The 16,039-nt window shown below is 35.7% G+C and overlaps 1 long non-coding RNA gene across 1 annotated transcript in view; it reads right to left on the reverse strand.

Annotated features, from left to right (window-relative positions):
* The window catches only part of LOC105371298 (uncharacterized), a 29,410-nt gene extending 14,440 nt beyond the window's left edge, over nucleotides 1-14,970 (reverse strand). Inside the window, exons 1-2 of the long non-coding RNA XR_001752331.2 lie at nucleotides 14,765-14,970; nucleotides 1,394-1,537 (exon numbers count right to left, since the gene is read on the reverse strand). This is a non-coding gene — a long non-coding RNA (uncharacterized LOC105371298). The remainder of the gene's footprint in view (nucleotides 1-1,393; nucleotides 1,538-14,764) is intronic.
* Between the last annotated feature and the right edge of the window lie 1,069 nt (nucleotides 14,971-16,039).

Consider the following 16,039-nt stretch of genomic DNA (forward strand, 5'->3'; position numbering starts at 1 on the left):
CTATCCTCATCCCTTTTGTGCTGCTATAACAGAATACCCGAGACTGGGTAATTTATAAAGAATAGAGATTCTTACAGTTCTAGATGCCAGGAAGTCCAAGGTCTAGGGGCTTGTGTCTGGCAAGAGCCTTCTTGCTGTACTATCCCATGGAACAAGGTGAAAGGGCAAGAGAGTATACACATGCAAGAGAGGGAAGGTTGCTGAATTCATCCTTATAAGGACACTGCTCCAGTGGTAACAAACCTACTCTCTTGATAATGGCATTGATTCATTCATGAGCACAGAACCCTCGTGACCTAATCTCCTCTTAAAAGGTCTTACCTCTCAACACTGTTGCATTGGGGATTAAGTTTCCAACACTTTGATAGGGACACCTTCAAACCATAGCAGGTGCTATTAATAATTACATCTGGACAAAAGGCATAAGCCAGAACTGTGTAGGACAAACCAGGATATATGGTGATGTTCAATAAAAATACGAAATACCTCCCTTTCTTTTCCTGCTGTGCCCTAATATCACTTCCAGTCATTGCCACAATTCTAATCTAAGTGACGTTCTGTTAGTATACATTTGATGACCCTCTTTCCAATCAACATTTTGAAATAATAGTTTTATAGGAATTTCTTGAAAATATAATTCTTTTAAGATTTCCTATTTTAGGGTCTTGTTTAAAGGGATGTTCTGTGCCAAAAATATTTTATTTTTCCCTTTCTATTTTAAAATTCTCATTTTCCAGTTCAACTATTATTTCCTTGTCAAAATATTCTACCTCCAGTTTTTCTTTACTAGCTCTGGGAATTTGGGGAAAAAAATTAACCTAGAATTCATTATCTTTAAGTGTAAAAAAGGAGCAATTCCAATAAATTTTAAGTAGATAAAATGACAAAATATTATGTTGCATTGCCTATAAGTTGTAGAAAACAAACAATAAAACTAAACTAAAAAATCTTTGAACTGTATTCAGGTTTTAAAAAACGCTCAAAAATATTTTATTCATAAACTGATTCAGCTGGAAGATAAGACAGTTAATTGACCATCTTAAATACCAAAGGGCACACTAAGAATTTTATATATGAGAAAACAATAGATTCAAAGGGAGAAAGTTAATAAGCTTATCATTGATTGATTTCATTAACTGACATAATTTATGAACTAACCATTGATTTTATTATTTGATGCAGCTATCAAAACATACCCTGAAATTAACTCAGATATACAGGTTCCTAATAGCTATTTCAAAACCTGAAATCTAAAAAAAATGATATTAATATTCTCTCTCCAGGGGCTCAAGAGTGAGAAAGGATTGCTTATAACAAAAAATCAATCCAATTTTAAAATATTTTTATAAATTCCAACTGGCAGGGGAAAAGTTACTAGTTGAAAGCTACTTACCATTTTGAGAGGGTGTGTCATATTTCTGAGTTCATATTTTCATCTTGTAAAAGATGGTTATGGTCACCCCACCTCCGCAGCATGTCAAATGTTCACCTCAAATTTGGTTGGTTCCAAAGCAATTCATCTTCACGAAGATCTTAGCTATTGAACATGAGAGGTGGAAACACTCAGCTCCCCTAGTATTGTCAACCATTATGAGAGACATTCACAATGTTGCACTTTTATGTCTGTCCTTTTCATTTGTGTAAACCTCTTTCAGGACAGGAACTGTGCTTTCTTTTTTCCATTCTTAGCTGCAAGTAGGCACACACTCACTAAATATTTGAATGAATGGATAAGTGGCTTTCTCCTGAACTTTCCTACGGTTGCAGGCCACACTGAAGAGAACCCAGTCTATTCCTCCTTTATGTGCTTTTAAAAATAAGTTTTAGAATGATGAGATAAAACACATAGTAATGTATACATTTTATCTAATTACTGATAAGTCTATTGTAAAAGCTCTGTCTCTAAATCCTCTTTTTATACATAACTGTCTTTTAGAGACTTAAAGATGCCAAAGATAATGGAACCATTTTATAAATTTAATGGGAAGAAATTTTCATTAACAGCCACGATATGCACACAATCTACATTTGACTTATTCTCTTTGTGAGGGTCAAGCAGTCTTTGCCATTTCTTTTTAAATCCTTGTTGGAAAATTCCGAGTGTTATCATAAGATCATGTCATTTGAAAGAAACTCCTGTAGAATAAGGTTACAAAAAGCCACTTAGATTACTTTTGAGAAGTAAGAGTTGTTTTAAAATATCTGAATTCTTTACTCTTTTGAGAAAACCCAGCCTAGTGGGAGAGTCAACTCCTGTGAGGTAGTTTTTAGACAAGCCTGGGATTGAAGATGCCACATAATAGCTATCTGCACCTCTTGTTATTTATCTCTTGGTATGGGAAACATAGGCTTATATGTGGAGCTTTCACACAAATTCAAGAGAAGCTGTCCATTGTGAGAAGTGAAATAAAATGATGGAAAAGACTGCTGCTTTCATCCTGGGTGGGTGTGCTATCCACAGGTAACAGAGTGGCATTTGACAAAAGAACATATTCTCTGTCCTTGTTGCCTTGGGAGAAGAAGTAATTCTATGATTTGAAGGCAACTCTCTGGGGGATTTTTTTTTTTAATTGTTACCCTGCTATTCTGACAGGGATTTTAGATGGCTAGGTTTTAAAGTCTGCTTTCACAGCAAGGCAGTGAGTTGGAACAGAGAAAGTATATTTTCATTGCCACGTACTTAATGCTCATACTTACAGTCAAATACTTAATCTCCCTGATATTCAGTTTTCTAATCTGTAAAATGGAAATAATAATAGCACCTATTTCAAAAAGTGTCTGTGATGATTCAATGGAATGATTCTGTGTCTACATAAAGTGAGTTATTATTATATGTCAGCTATTATCATTTGTTATTAGTATCAATTAGTTATTTATCATTTGAGTAGGTTCATGGTCTGGGCAATGTGCTGGGTGGGGTGGGAGGTGGGGAGTGCTAAAAAAGTGATTCATGCTTCTTACATTCAAGGACCTGACAGAGCAAGGAGATAATGCATACAATAAAGAGCAATTCTATTAACAAATAATCCACCGAGTAACTAAAAAGGGGCCTTTGGAGTTCTGATTTGGATGAGATTATTTTCAGCCTGGGGTGGGAAGTATGTGGGGGCTGGGATTACTGGTTTGGGACACATTCTCTTAAATATGGATCTGGAAAGATGAATATGAGTAAAAGACATGATATAGGAAAACACTACATCCCACAGGGAACACCATAGACATGTGAAAACATTTGGTGGATGTGGGAGAATTGACAAGGAATTAGGTTTGGATAGATACTAATTTGCAAGGGCTATAATAAAATAGCAAATACTGAGTGGCTTAAATAACTGGAAGTTCAAAATCAAAGTGCTGGGGATAATGGCTTCCAGCTCCATCCATGTCCCTGCAAAGGACATGATCTCATTCCTTTTTATGGCTGCATAGTATTCCATGGTGTATGTGTACCATATTTTCTTTATCCAATCTATCACTGATGGGTGTTTGGGTTGATTCCATGTCTTCTCAGCAAACTAATGCAGGAACAGGAAACCAAGTCCTGCATGTTCTCACTTATAAATAGGAGCTGAACAATAAGAACACATGGACACAGGGAGGGGAAGGACACACTCTGGGGCCTGCCAAGGGGTGGGGTGTGGGGAGGGAGAACATTAAGAAAAATAACTAATGCATGTTGGGCTCAATACCTAGGTGACGTGTTGATCTGTGCAACAAACCACCATGGCACACGTTTACCTATGTAACAACGCTGCTCATCCTACACATGTACCCCAGAACTTTAAAAAAAGATTAAACAAAACCCCCAAATCAAAGTGCTGTCAGGGTTGGGTTTTCCTGAGGCCTCTCTCCTTGGCTTGCAGATTGCCATCCTCTTGCTGCCTGTTCATGTGGTCAACATCCCGGTGGCCTCTTCCCCTTCTAGCAGCCTCATTTTCATGGATCACTTCTGTATGACCTTACCTGCAAACATGGTTACATTCTGAGGGGCTGGAGGTGAGACTTCAACATACAAATTTTTGGGAATCAGCCCATAAGACATAAAAAGATTGAAAATGTAATTTGGTGACTGATTATTGTCAGCTTTAGTGGTTCCCTTGGCCTGTGGAATTTATTTCATAGACACCTGGAAGACACTAAGTGTTTTTGACAGAGAAAGGATCAAAGCAGTACTTTAAAAAGATTAATCTTCTTTAATATATAAATTGGATTAGAAAAAAGAGAAACAGAAGGATGAGACTCCATATAAAAAGCGCTTTGCCAAACTAGACCACAGCACTTTAAACTTGATAAGAAGTATTATAGAGGACCCAAGGGGAATCAAGTGAGAAAAGACTACAAAAGTAAAAATGATCAGGTTTGAAGATAGATTGACACCTACATGCAAAGAGAACATTATGATTTTGAACTTGAACCACTGGGAATTTTCCATGGTTGGAGGAAAAAGTGAGGAGGAATTTCTGAATTTTTTAAGAAAAGATGACTCTTTCAGTTTTGTACAATGGAACATCTTGGGTGTGCTATCTATCAGTCTTCTGAAATGTGGGTCTGGACTTCAGAAGTTGGATTTAGGGATGGACACAGAAGAACTGGAGGTGACTGGCAAATGAACTTATGCTTATTAAATCAGATCTTAATTTTAATCCCTAACAGTACACAGACATCCCCTTTAAAATGTGATCAGCCTCTTGGAAACAACTGACAAATGGTACAATCTGATCAGAGTTTAACGTTTTGGCTGTAAGTAAAATGTCTGTGGGAGACTTAAATCTCATATTAAGGGAAATCTGCTTTAGAAGAATGTTCAGATGAGGAGACATTGTGGAGCTCTAATATTGGAATTCTATTTACACGTATCATTTGTGATGGCTTGATACAATATGAAAAGATTGGGGAAATTCAATCTTTTGATTCATTTCTTTTAGAGGATGGTGTAAGTGCTTTAAGAAGGTTACTGTTTTCTAGTTGATTGTTACAGAGTAAAAGAAGACAAATGGTGACACAGACAGTCCCCATTAACCTCTTCACAAGCACACAATTTCACATGGACAAAATAGTAAATGAATTTCTTGTGCTTCTCATACATTCAATGAACATCAAAAATTAGAGTTAGGAAAAGTGGAATTTTGTCCTAATTTTGGCCCAGTTGGGTATGGCAGTTTAAGCAAATGATTTAGAATCTTTGTCTTTGTTTCTGTAAAATTTAAAACATGGTTCTGTAAGGAAACATTTTTAGTTAAATGACCTCATCAGTGTAGAAGGCACCTCGTATAATAATAGGGCATATTTCTGAAGACATTCACTGAGTCCCAGAATGCAGCATGGCTGTCTGCATTTCAGATAGGTGACCTTAAGAGAAAGCATGAAAGTAATGCCTACCACAGTAGCTGAAACATGTGAAGCACTGTATAAATGTGTGCCATATGGGTGAATGAAATTCAACAGACATATGGGAAAAGGCAGGAAGAAGAAACAGTCAAGGCATGGTGGTGTAAATGTGGAACTTTCAAAATTAGTCAAAGCCTTGGAGGTCTAATTGAGTTTCTACATCTTCCAGAAACTGGGAAGTGATTTAAAGAGGGAATCTATCATCCCTATTAAAAAATTATTTTACTCAAAAATGACCCAGACTAACTCAATTTGAACATGTCTGTATATGTAGCCCAACACTTGCTCACATATTAATAATAAACTTTCAAAGCAACTGCATTCACTGGCTACTGTTACGTCGTTTTTCCAAAGATGACATCTAAGTGAGAAAGGGTAAGTAACTTGCAAAAGGTTATCTATAGGAACACTGAGTTCTGACTGTGAGCTGCCTATGCTGAACTTTGAAAGGACAACTTTGTTCATTCTTTTCTAGTACTTACCAATTGTGATAGAGTCGTGGAAATTCCTTGGCTACCTAGCAATACAGTTCTCATACAGGCTTGCTCACTTATTTGAAGTAGTAGTTTAACAAAGCCAGAATTTCTTTTCGATTCCAACTGAGTTTCTTCCAAGCTCTGAGACTGTGAGGAGTCGCCAGTGCACAGGGCTGGGAGATGTGATATAATGATGCCTGCAGGCTAGGAATCTGGTCTCTGGGACATATTGTTTTTTACAGAGTTGCCATGAAACTTGGCTGGAGACCCAGCCCTCTCTGTTGGAGCCAGACTCTGAGTGTCTTTGGCTAATCAGCATGCTTCAGGGAGAAAAAAATAATTGCTGGTAAGCAAAGGCACTGTTTATCATTATCTATGTGGCATCTGCTTCCACAATTACATTTCTAGAAGATCTGGATAATCACATTCTTTTGCAAATGGTCTAATTAATGTGATTTTTGCTATTATTATATTTTGAGCATCGGTAATACCAAAGCTAATCATTAAAGGCCTCCAATTTTGCAGTATGCAAAGACATCTTATTGATTGACACAGAAATCCACAGAAAGTGACATGAAACAACTGGGACTATGACGACTCAAGTGCTTGCCAAACCCAAGGAAGTAAACTGAATATTGTGTGCATCTTTTTATTTCACAAGTTAATATCCTCCTATGCACACATGCAGAAAGAATAAAAAATAAGGCCACCATGTAAAATTGGGTTTGAATCTCAGTCCTGACACTAACCATCTGTGTGGCAGTAAACGTATACATTCTCAACATTGGTTGCCTCCCCTTTACAATATAGACTCTAATTTGTGCCTTAAAGCAATGTTACAAAGATTAAATGAGATGACACATGTAAAATGTACTGGCACAATAAATTATATTCAACAATTGACTTAGTATTCAATAAATTATAATTGCCTTTCTCCATAATATTAGGCTATTGGTACAATGTCTCTATTTTTGTTTTATGACTTGGCAAGTAGGAGTTTACTCATATAGACAGTGGAACCAAATACTGCAATTTGGCCTGTCCAGGATGTGTGGTTCACAAAGCTAGAAGACATTAGTTGACTAAACTAAAAGTAAGCATAATGGCCTCAATGATAACTGCTGAAGCACTGAATATCAGATTTAGCAATAATGATCAACAAGACTCGGGCCTTTTCCAATGGGTGCACCTGATATACAAGCCACCAGTCCTCTGATACATTTCATTCAACTATGAATGAAGTAGGAGAGTTGACAAACTCAAAATGAAACCAACTGACCAGCCGTATTCCAGATCTGAAAGAAAATGTGACACGTCTATCCATCTGAGGCTTAGGTATTTTTCCTTTGGAAAAAGATTTCTAAAATTAATATTAACATGATAACTATTGACTTTTATTGTTAGTTTATTCTACGACAGTAATTATGCCAGCTTTCTATTTTTATTCTCACTGCAAATATGTCAAGTGATTACTATATTTCTGCTTTTTAATAGATAACGAAACCAAGATATAGAAAAGTGATATAATTTGTCATAGAACAATACTTGTAGGTAATACAGTTGGGATTTGAATCCAGACCTGTGTCTATTCAAAACTGAAAAAAAAAAAAGATATTTCAAGCCTGTAGAAGTTTTAGACAGGGTTTCTTCAAGAGGCCTGGAGCTTTTGATCTCAGGAAACCTCAAATTCCAGTGAATTTTGTTTGGTTTGGTTTGAACACTTGCCTGTGCTTTGAGGAACCATAATGCATTTTGGTTCTTTCATATCACAGATATCTCACAGCAAGTCAGATATGGGGAGCAAAGATTTGTATCTTGTTTTTTGTTTGCTAGTTTTATATTTTTGTTTTTGAAACAGAGTCTTGCTCTGTCGCCCAGGCTGGAGTGCAGTGGTGTGATCTCGGCTCACTGCAACCTCCGCCTCCCAGGTTCCAGCAATTCTACCACCTCAGCCTCCTGAGTAGCTGGGATTACAGTCATAAGCCACCATACCAGGCTAATTTTTGTATTGTTAGTAGAGATGGGGTTTTGCCATGTTGGCTAGGCTGATCTTGCACTCCTGACCTCAAGTGATTCCCTCGCCTTGGCCTCTCAAAGTGCTGGGATTACAGGTGCGAGCCACCGTGCCAAGCTAAGATTTCTATCTTGTAGAGTATTTTACTTGAGAAGAGTGAGAGTCCATCAGTAATCCTTTGATGGGAATCAAAGATGCTTTGGAAGTATACACGGGAACTTCATAATTGCTCAGTATCTTGATGCTTGCTAAAAGAAGCAGCAAGATTTCTCGTTTTGTCAGCCCTTCAAACCTTATTTTCCAGATGAGAAGCATTGTTTCAGCTTTCTGAATCTGTTGGTATTCATCCACCTTCTTACATTTCCCAGCTCATGGGCTTAGAAAAATGCATGTAGTCAGAGTCTGTTTAGCAGAATAGAGCACCTGGTATCCTTGCTTGTGTGTGTGTGTGTGTGTGTGTGTGTGTGTAAGGGGCTTCTTTGTTTTTAATTACTTTTATTACGAAAATAACACTTCACATGATAATAAATAAATAGGTAGTATAAAAAGCTACAAATGAAAAGCTAATTACTTCTACACTCTGGACCTACTATCTCTCCTCAGTCAATAACTATACAGGTTCTACTATATGTTTATAGAGGAAAAATGTGTACATATTATAAATGGTAACTGTACTCTGTACAAACGTATACTTATAAATATATCATTTTTGTTTTTACATAGATGCATGTACCTTTCAGATAGTTTTGGCCTTTTTTTTTCATGAAATGTATCTCAGAGGGAGATTTTCAAATAAAATGCAAACGGAAAGCCAAATGTCCTAATAATGTTTCCTCCAATACCTAATCAAACAAACAACAATTTGAATACAACAAAAAATAACGATCAGCACTACTGGTGATTCAGATGCAGATGTGGTACCCAAACCATTTGACCAATACTTCAGAAACCCTTAGGGCAGAATACAGGCAATCAAATTCTGAGATTTATCATTAATTTAAATAAAAATTTGCAATGATAGTTAAATCACTTCGTCAAAAAAAAGTATGGCTGAAAGTTTTGCAAATTTAGAGATAAATACAAATACAGATCCGGGAAGCTCAGTGTACTTCAAGTGAGTAAGTTGTGGAGGAAACCACATTTAGGCAAATCAAACGGCTACAAATTAAAGACAAAGTGAAAAGCCTTGAAGCAGCTACACAAAAATAAAATATTTTATAAAGGGAAAGAATAATTTGAATAATTCATCAGAAACCATGGAGGTCAAAAGACTGTGAAACTACATTTTCAAGTGTTGAAAGTAAAAAAAAAAAAGCCATTGCTTTTTATCCAGTGCAAGTCTCCTTCAAGAATAAACGTGAAATAAAGACATTTTTAGATAAAACTAAGAGAATTTTTTTGTCAGCAGACTTGCATTCTAAGAAATGTTAAAGGAAGTTTCTCATACTCAAAGGAAATCATATCAGATGAAACTCATATCTATAGGAAATAATGAAGAGCATCAGAAAAAGTAAATACCTGACTCAATAAATAGACCTTTTTTCTTCTAGTTAAAAAAAGTATATATGACCACTTAAAACAAAAATTATAGTACTTTCTTGTGGGCTTTGTAAATGTATAGATATAATGCATATGTGAACTAGAGCATAAAAGATGGGGCTAAATGCATTCATATGATTAGAAATTTTCTATATTTTACATGAAGTAAAATATTTTATATATTCATGAAATATTCATGAACTATACATAAAATGTATTTTACATGAATTAGTATAGTATTAATTATAAGACATCTGTAGAAAAGATAAAGATATATATGGCAATAACTAGATCAACCACTTAAAATATAATAGGATATATCTAAAATCCCAATAAATAAATTAAATGGAATTCTAAAAATAATTATATAAATGTTTAAAAAGTTAGAAAAGGGAGAAGAGGATAACCACAACACTAATCAAAACAAAAGAAAACAGGAGATGAAGAAAAAAACAAAAATAATAAAAATGTACACCTAAGTCCAATCACATTGATAATTACAATAAATGTTAATGGACAAAACATTTCAAATAAAAGTAAATATTTTCTGAATGGATAAAAAAAGCAAAACCCAATTTTACATTGTCTATAAAATAAATAATTTAGCTACAAAGACACATATATTAAAAGTAATGGATAAAGAAAGATATGCTATGTACGTAGTTTAAGAAAGCTGGAGTGACTATAGTAATATCAGACAAAATTGATTCAAGACAAAGAACATCACCGGTAATAAAGAAAGGCATTTCATAAAGTTAGAAAGATCAATTTGTCAGAAAGACATAACAATCATAAATGTGTATGTACCTAGTAACAGAGCTTCATAATACAGGAAGCAAGAATTGATAGAATTAAGAGATAAATAGTTCAAACTCTTTACTTTCTACGTGATAAACTGTTTAAAATAAGGATACATTTGTATGAAATTCTCAAACAGGCAGAACAAATTAATGGTAGAAAAAACAGTATAGTAGTTGCCACTGGGATATAGAGACAGTGACTGACTTGTGCCACCAGCCCTGGCTAATTTTGTATTTTTAGTAGAGAGAGAGTTTCACCAAGTTGGCCAGGCTGGTCTCAAACTCCTGACCTTAAGTGATCCACCCGCTTTGGCCTTTCAAAGTGCTGGGATTACAGGTGTGAGCCACCATGCCCAGCCAGTTTTTTTCTTTTTATTGCTGAGTAGTGTTCATTGTATCTTTGTACCACAATTTATCTATTCACCCACTGATGTAGATTGGATGGTTTCCAATATTTGACTATTATGAATATAGGCATTATAAGCATTTGTGTACAAAAAAGATACATAAAGGTGCATGAATAAACCTTCTGGGGTGATAGTAATTAGTAATGCCCTTTATGTTAATAGGGATTTGGGTTATATTTATGTCTGTATCAATCTATACTATGAAATTTGTGAATTTAATCATGTGTATATTTTTCAGCGGAAGAAAATATAAGTATAAGCACATGAACTCCTGTTAATGATATGTGTGTTGAAGTATATAGGGAGAAGTATACTGACATCTTTATTTTAAAAGGCACTAACAGTAAAGTGGATTAATGTATGGATACAGAGATGAATACATGGATAGTTATTTTATAAACAAATACAGTAAGATGTTAATATTTGAATTAATGGTTGAATATGCATATTGTACTGTACTGAAGTGAATAGTGTTCCCCCCAAATTCATGCCTACCTGGAAACTGTGAATGTGATCTTTTTTGAAAACAACATCTTTGCAGATGTAATCAAGTTAAAATGATGTTACAATGGATTAGTGTGGCCCCAAATCCAATGGTTGGCATCCTTGAAGAGGGAAAGGTAAACACAGATCACAGGGAGGAATGCCATGTGAGGACGAGGTAGAAATTGGGGTGATGTGTCTATAAACCAGGAAATGCCAAGGGTATCCAGCAGCCAGCATAAGCTGGGAAAAAGGCATGCAACAAATTCTTCCTCAGAATTTCAGAAGGAACCAACCCTGCCAACACCTGGATTCTGAACTTTTAGCCCCCAGAAATAAGAGAGATAAATTTCTGCTGTTTTACACTGCCCAGATTGTGGACTTTTGTTACAGCAGCCCTAGGGAACTAGTAGTGCACATGTCCACTGTAAATTTGAATCTAGATGGTGAATATACATTTGGTCACTATAAAATTCTTTCAGCTTTTTTGAATATTTGAATATTTTTACACTGAAACTTTGGGAAATAATAAATAAGCAGAAGCTGAATTCTGTTACCCAATAGATGGTCATAATCCTTTGCCCAGATTCAACATCTGAGCTGTTTTTCAGAGCCACAATCTTTGGATTATACGAGAGTCTAGTTCTAATGGGAAAGACTCTGCAACTCTTTGGCAGATGTTACAGCTGCGATTCCTTCATTCTCTCTCTGAAGAGAATTAGAGCCATTCATCTGACCATACATAAGGCAAGAGGAAATACCTAAGTCCTTTGGTTTGTTTCCTGGATGATCTGAATTGACATTGATTCCTGGGTACGTAAAGTACCAACATCGCTTGTACATGGAGTAGGAGTGTATGAAGTTCTGTTAACAAATAGAGTATTGTCCCAGTCTACCTCACAGTGTGGCTGCTAATCCATTGGTTATATTCACAGATGTATAATTTTAAATAATATAATTAACAGATGGACACATCCTCATGTGGAACAAAAGCTTGACCTGTGGAATAAGAGCTATTTTAATAATAAAGGCCATAAAAAGCCCCTGAAACACTTCCCTCCACCCCGCTAAGATGATCATCTTTACATCCCAGGCTAATGGCAGATATTAGTACCACAAAGTCTTAAAAGATACAGGGGTCATAGTTCATCCCCATTTAATTCACCAGTCTAGCCTCTACTAAAACAGATTATGGGGAATGTCAATAAATCATTGTAAATTTAATCAAGTATTGGCCCTATGTTCATCACTGTGTTGGATGCGCTTTCCTGACTAGAACAGATGAACAAAGCTTCATGTACCTTGTAAGTGGCTACTGATCTAGCTAGTGTGATCTTTTCGTTACCTAACCGGAAGGAGAGTCAGAAGCAGTTTGCATTCACCTGGGATCTACAGCAGTATACGTTCAGTCTTGCCTCAGAGTCAAATTAATTCACTCTGCCATAAAGATAACATTAATTCACTCTCCAAGGAGGTCATGGCAAGGTGGACAACATGCAGAACACAATATTGCTTCACTATCGGACCCCGTGGACAAAACATGATAAGCCCTCTGAATGTCTTGGTAAATATATGGGCTCCAATGGTAAGGAAATAAAGATTCAGAGTCTGTCACATTGTTGAATATTTAGAGGTGCAGTGGTCTAAGTTATATCAGAACATAGTCTCCAAAGCTATGGACAAATTATTGTAGTTTTATCCTACTTCCATTGAAAAAGAGAGAAGTACTGGGTTTAAGTTTTTCTTTAAGTTTGCAGGCAGTGTATTCTGCACTTGAGAATACTCATACAAGCTATATATTGCTGCATAAGTCTTCTAGGCTTTCGTGAGACCCAGGGGAAGAAAAATCATGAAAGCAGCTCTACGTATTATGAGTTAAATTGTGTCCTCTCAAAATTCATATGTTTCAGCCCTAACCCTGAGTCTCTTGGAAAGTGAACTAATTTGGACATAGGATCTTTAGAGATGTAATTAAGCAAAACAAGGTCATTAGGGTAGGGCCTAATTGAATATAACTGATGTCCTTATAATAAAGGGAAATTTGGACACAAATATATACAGAGAGGGGAGATGATGTGGAGGCAACATAAGGAGAAGATGACCATCTATATGCCAAGAAAAGAAGCCTGGAGGATCCTTCCCCACAGACCTCAGAAGAAGCCACCGCACCAACACCTTGATCTTGGGCTTTTATCCTCCAGTGCCGTGGGGAAATAAATAAATTTCTGTGAGGAAATAAATAAATTTCTGTGATGTCACACAGTTTGTGGTATTTGTTATAGCAGCTATTGCACACGAATGCACTAAGTTATGCCCTGCTGCTTGGCATATTCCTGCATGCACATCTCATCTCAGAGATTTCTGGAGAACGTGAACTAGACAGAAAACTCTCCTATTTAATTCCTGAATACTAGTATTCATCTTCTGGTACCATAAGGTGTTTTACAGTAATCTTGTACATTTCCTAGCCAAGAGTTGTAATCATTTCTTTTAAAGATATGTAGAAATCGGTTTTTGTGCTGAGGGTCACTATTGCTACTGTTGGTCACTGTTTTTAGGCTTTTTTGGTGGAAAAAAGTAAGGCATACTTTTTCCTTTCCTCTTTTCCCTTTCCTTTTTCCTTTCCTTTCCTTTCCTTCCTCTCCCTCCCCCTTCCCCTCCCTCCCTCCCTTTTTTCCTCCCCTTTTCCCTCCCTATTTTCCCCTCCCCTCTCCTCTCCTTTTTCCTTCCTTCCTCCCTTCCTTTCTCTCTCTCTTCCTTCCTTCCTTTCTTTCTTTCTCTTTCTCTTTCTTTCTTTCTTTTTCTTCTTTCTTTCTTTATCTTGAAAAGAGAAATGTGTTATACATTTACATTGATATTTTCAATTAAAATTCAAGATTATGGAGATTTTAGTTAACTTCTTTCATTTCATATTTGTATCTCTTGAATTCTTGCTTCTGACACCACTGACATAATTTCTTTTGTACTCTATATCTGATCTTACTTCCCATCCATACGATGGATTAAAATAACTAGATCTATTTTGTCTTTGGTAGTTTGACTGCATATCTCTGATCCCAACTAGGACATGTACTTTTTTTAATTCTAAAAAGTTCTTTAATTCTAAAAAGTTTTTTTTACTTCTAAAGAGTACATAGTGCTTACTATGTACCAAGCACTGTTTTTTTTTAAAACTTAATTAACAATAATATATTATATAATTGCAAATAGCTAGGAGGAGGATATTGAATGTTTCCAAAACAAAGAAATGATAAATATTTGAGAGGATGGATATGCTACTTACCCTGATCTGATCACTAGACATCATATGTCTCTAAACATTATTATGAGCCCCATGCATATGTAAAATTATTATTTGCCAATTAAAAAATAAAATAAATATTTAAAGTGTGCATTAACTCATTTCATCCTCACAGTAACCCTATGACATAGATACTGTTGTTATCCCAGTTTTACAAATTAGAAAACTGAGGCATATACAAGTTAAGTAACTTGTGAAAAATCATACTGCTAGTAAATAGCAGAGCTGCTGTTTGGACTCAGGCATCTGACTCCAGAGCAATGTTCTTTAACTAAGTTGTACTGTCAAGATATCATAATGGGCTTAGATAAATGGTCCAAATAAAATAAAAATAGTTTTGATGAATTATAATCACTAACCTTCACATAACTCTTGGTGTCTCATTTTGCAAGTGTTTTTGTAGCTAATATCTTCTCACTTGCTGCTCAGAATCTTGAGAGAAAGAGATGCAGCTGAGAGAGGGAAGTGACTTGCCCAAGGACACACAGCTGGTATGTGGGAGCATCAGGATTTGAACCAGAGTACAAATTATTTTTATTTCCTGTATACATAGATGGAAACTGAGATTAAGAGGAGTTAAACAATTTATATTCTTCTGTCCTCCAGAGGCTTGGCATGGTGATTTGGAGGGAGTCCATGTAATACATGTACTAAGTCCAAGTTAGCGTCCATATCTATACTGAATAATTAGATGCTACTCAACTCCTCTGGTTCCTCTGGGGACACAGGACTCCCAGTGGCAACTTATGTTGCTGTCAGCAGCTTGGCGCTTTGAACCAGGGTGGCCCTGTAGAAGCAGGGGGTAAGGAGGTCAGAGGTTTTCTGTGAATTGGAGGCTCCAGGCTTCTGTTTGCAAAGGATGACTTGTGAATCCTTGATCTGTACAGACAACCAATGACAACTTTGCTGTTGAAAGCAAAAGGCTGTGACTTACTCCTCTCATTTAGGTTTGAATCCTAGCTCTACCTTTGGGGGAATACAGTTTCTGTTTCTGATAAAGGCACAATAACTCATCTCTAGATAATCAAAACACCATCTTAACAATTAAACAAATCAAAACAATTTTGTTTAATTTTACTTTGATTTTTAAAGCTTGCATTTATATTCATTACAATTTAATTTTGTTTCACAATTTTGAACCACTTATATGGTTTTCAAAGTTGAATCTACGAAACAAACTACCTTCAGAAAATATTAGATTTTCTATATATGCCTTTTATTATTTTGCTCAATGAACTCTTCACTCTTATTGTCTAGAGTTTTCTGATTATTACTTAAAATTTTTTCTAAGTTTTTGTTACTTATCCATATTTTATGCAAATTATAACTATTATATATTTTAGAAAGAAATTTTTTATTTCTAATAGGCCAGTGGTATTTATTTATTTACTTATTTTACATTTTTAAAAGTTAGTAAAATTTTCAGTTTTTTTTTTTTTTATGGCTTCTAGGCATTGTGTTTGGTTTGGAATGTCATTCCTACTCAGAAATTACTTTCTTTTTTTATATGTATATTTATTATACTTTAAGTTCTAGGGTACATGTGCACAACATGCAGGTTTGTTACATATGTATACATGTGCCATGCTGGTGTGCTGCACCCATTAACTCGTCATTTACATTAGGTATATCTC

The sequence above is a fragment of the Homo sapiens genome, chromosome 16 (assembly GCF_000001405.40).
Source record: "Homo sapiens chromosome 16, GRCh38.p14 Primary Assembly".
NCBI classification, from domain to species: Eukaryota; Metazoa; Chordata; class Mammalia; order Primates; family Hominidae; genus Homo; species Homo sapiens.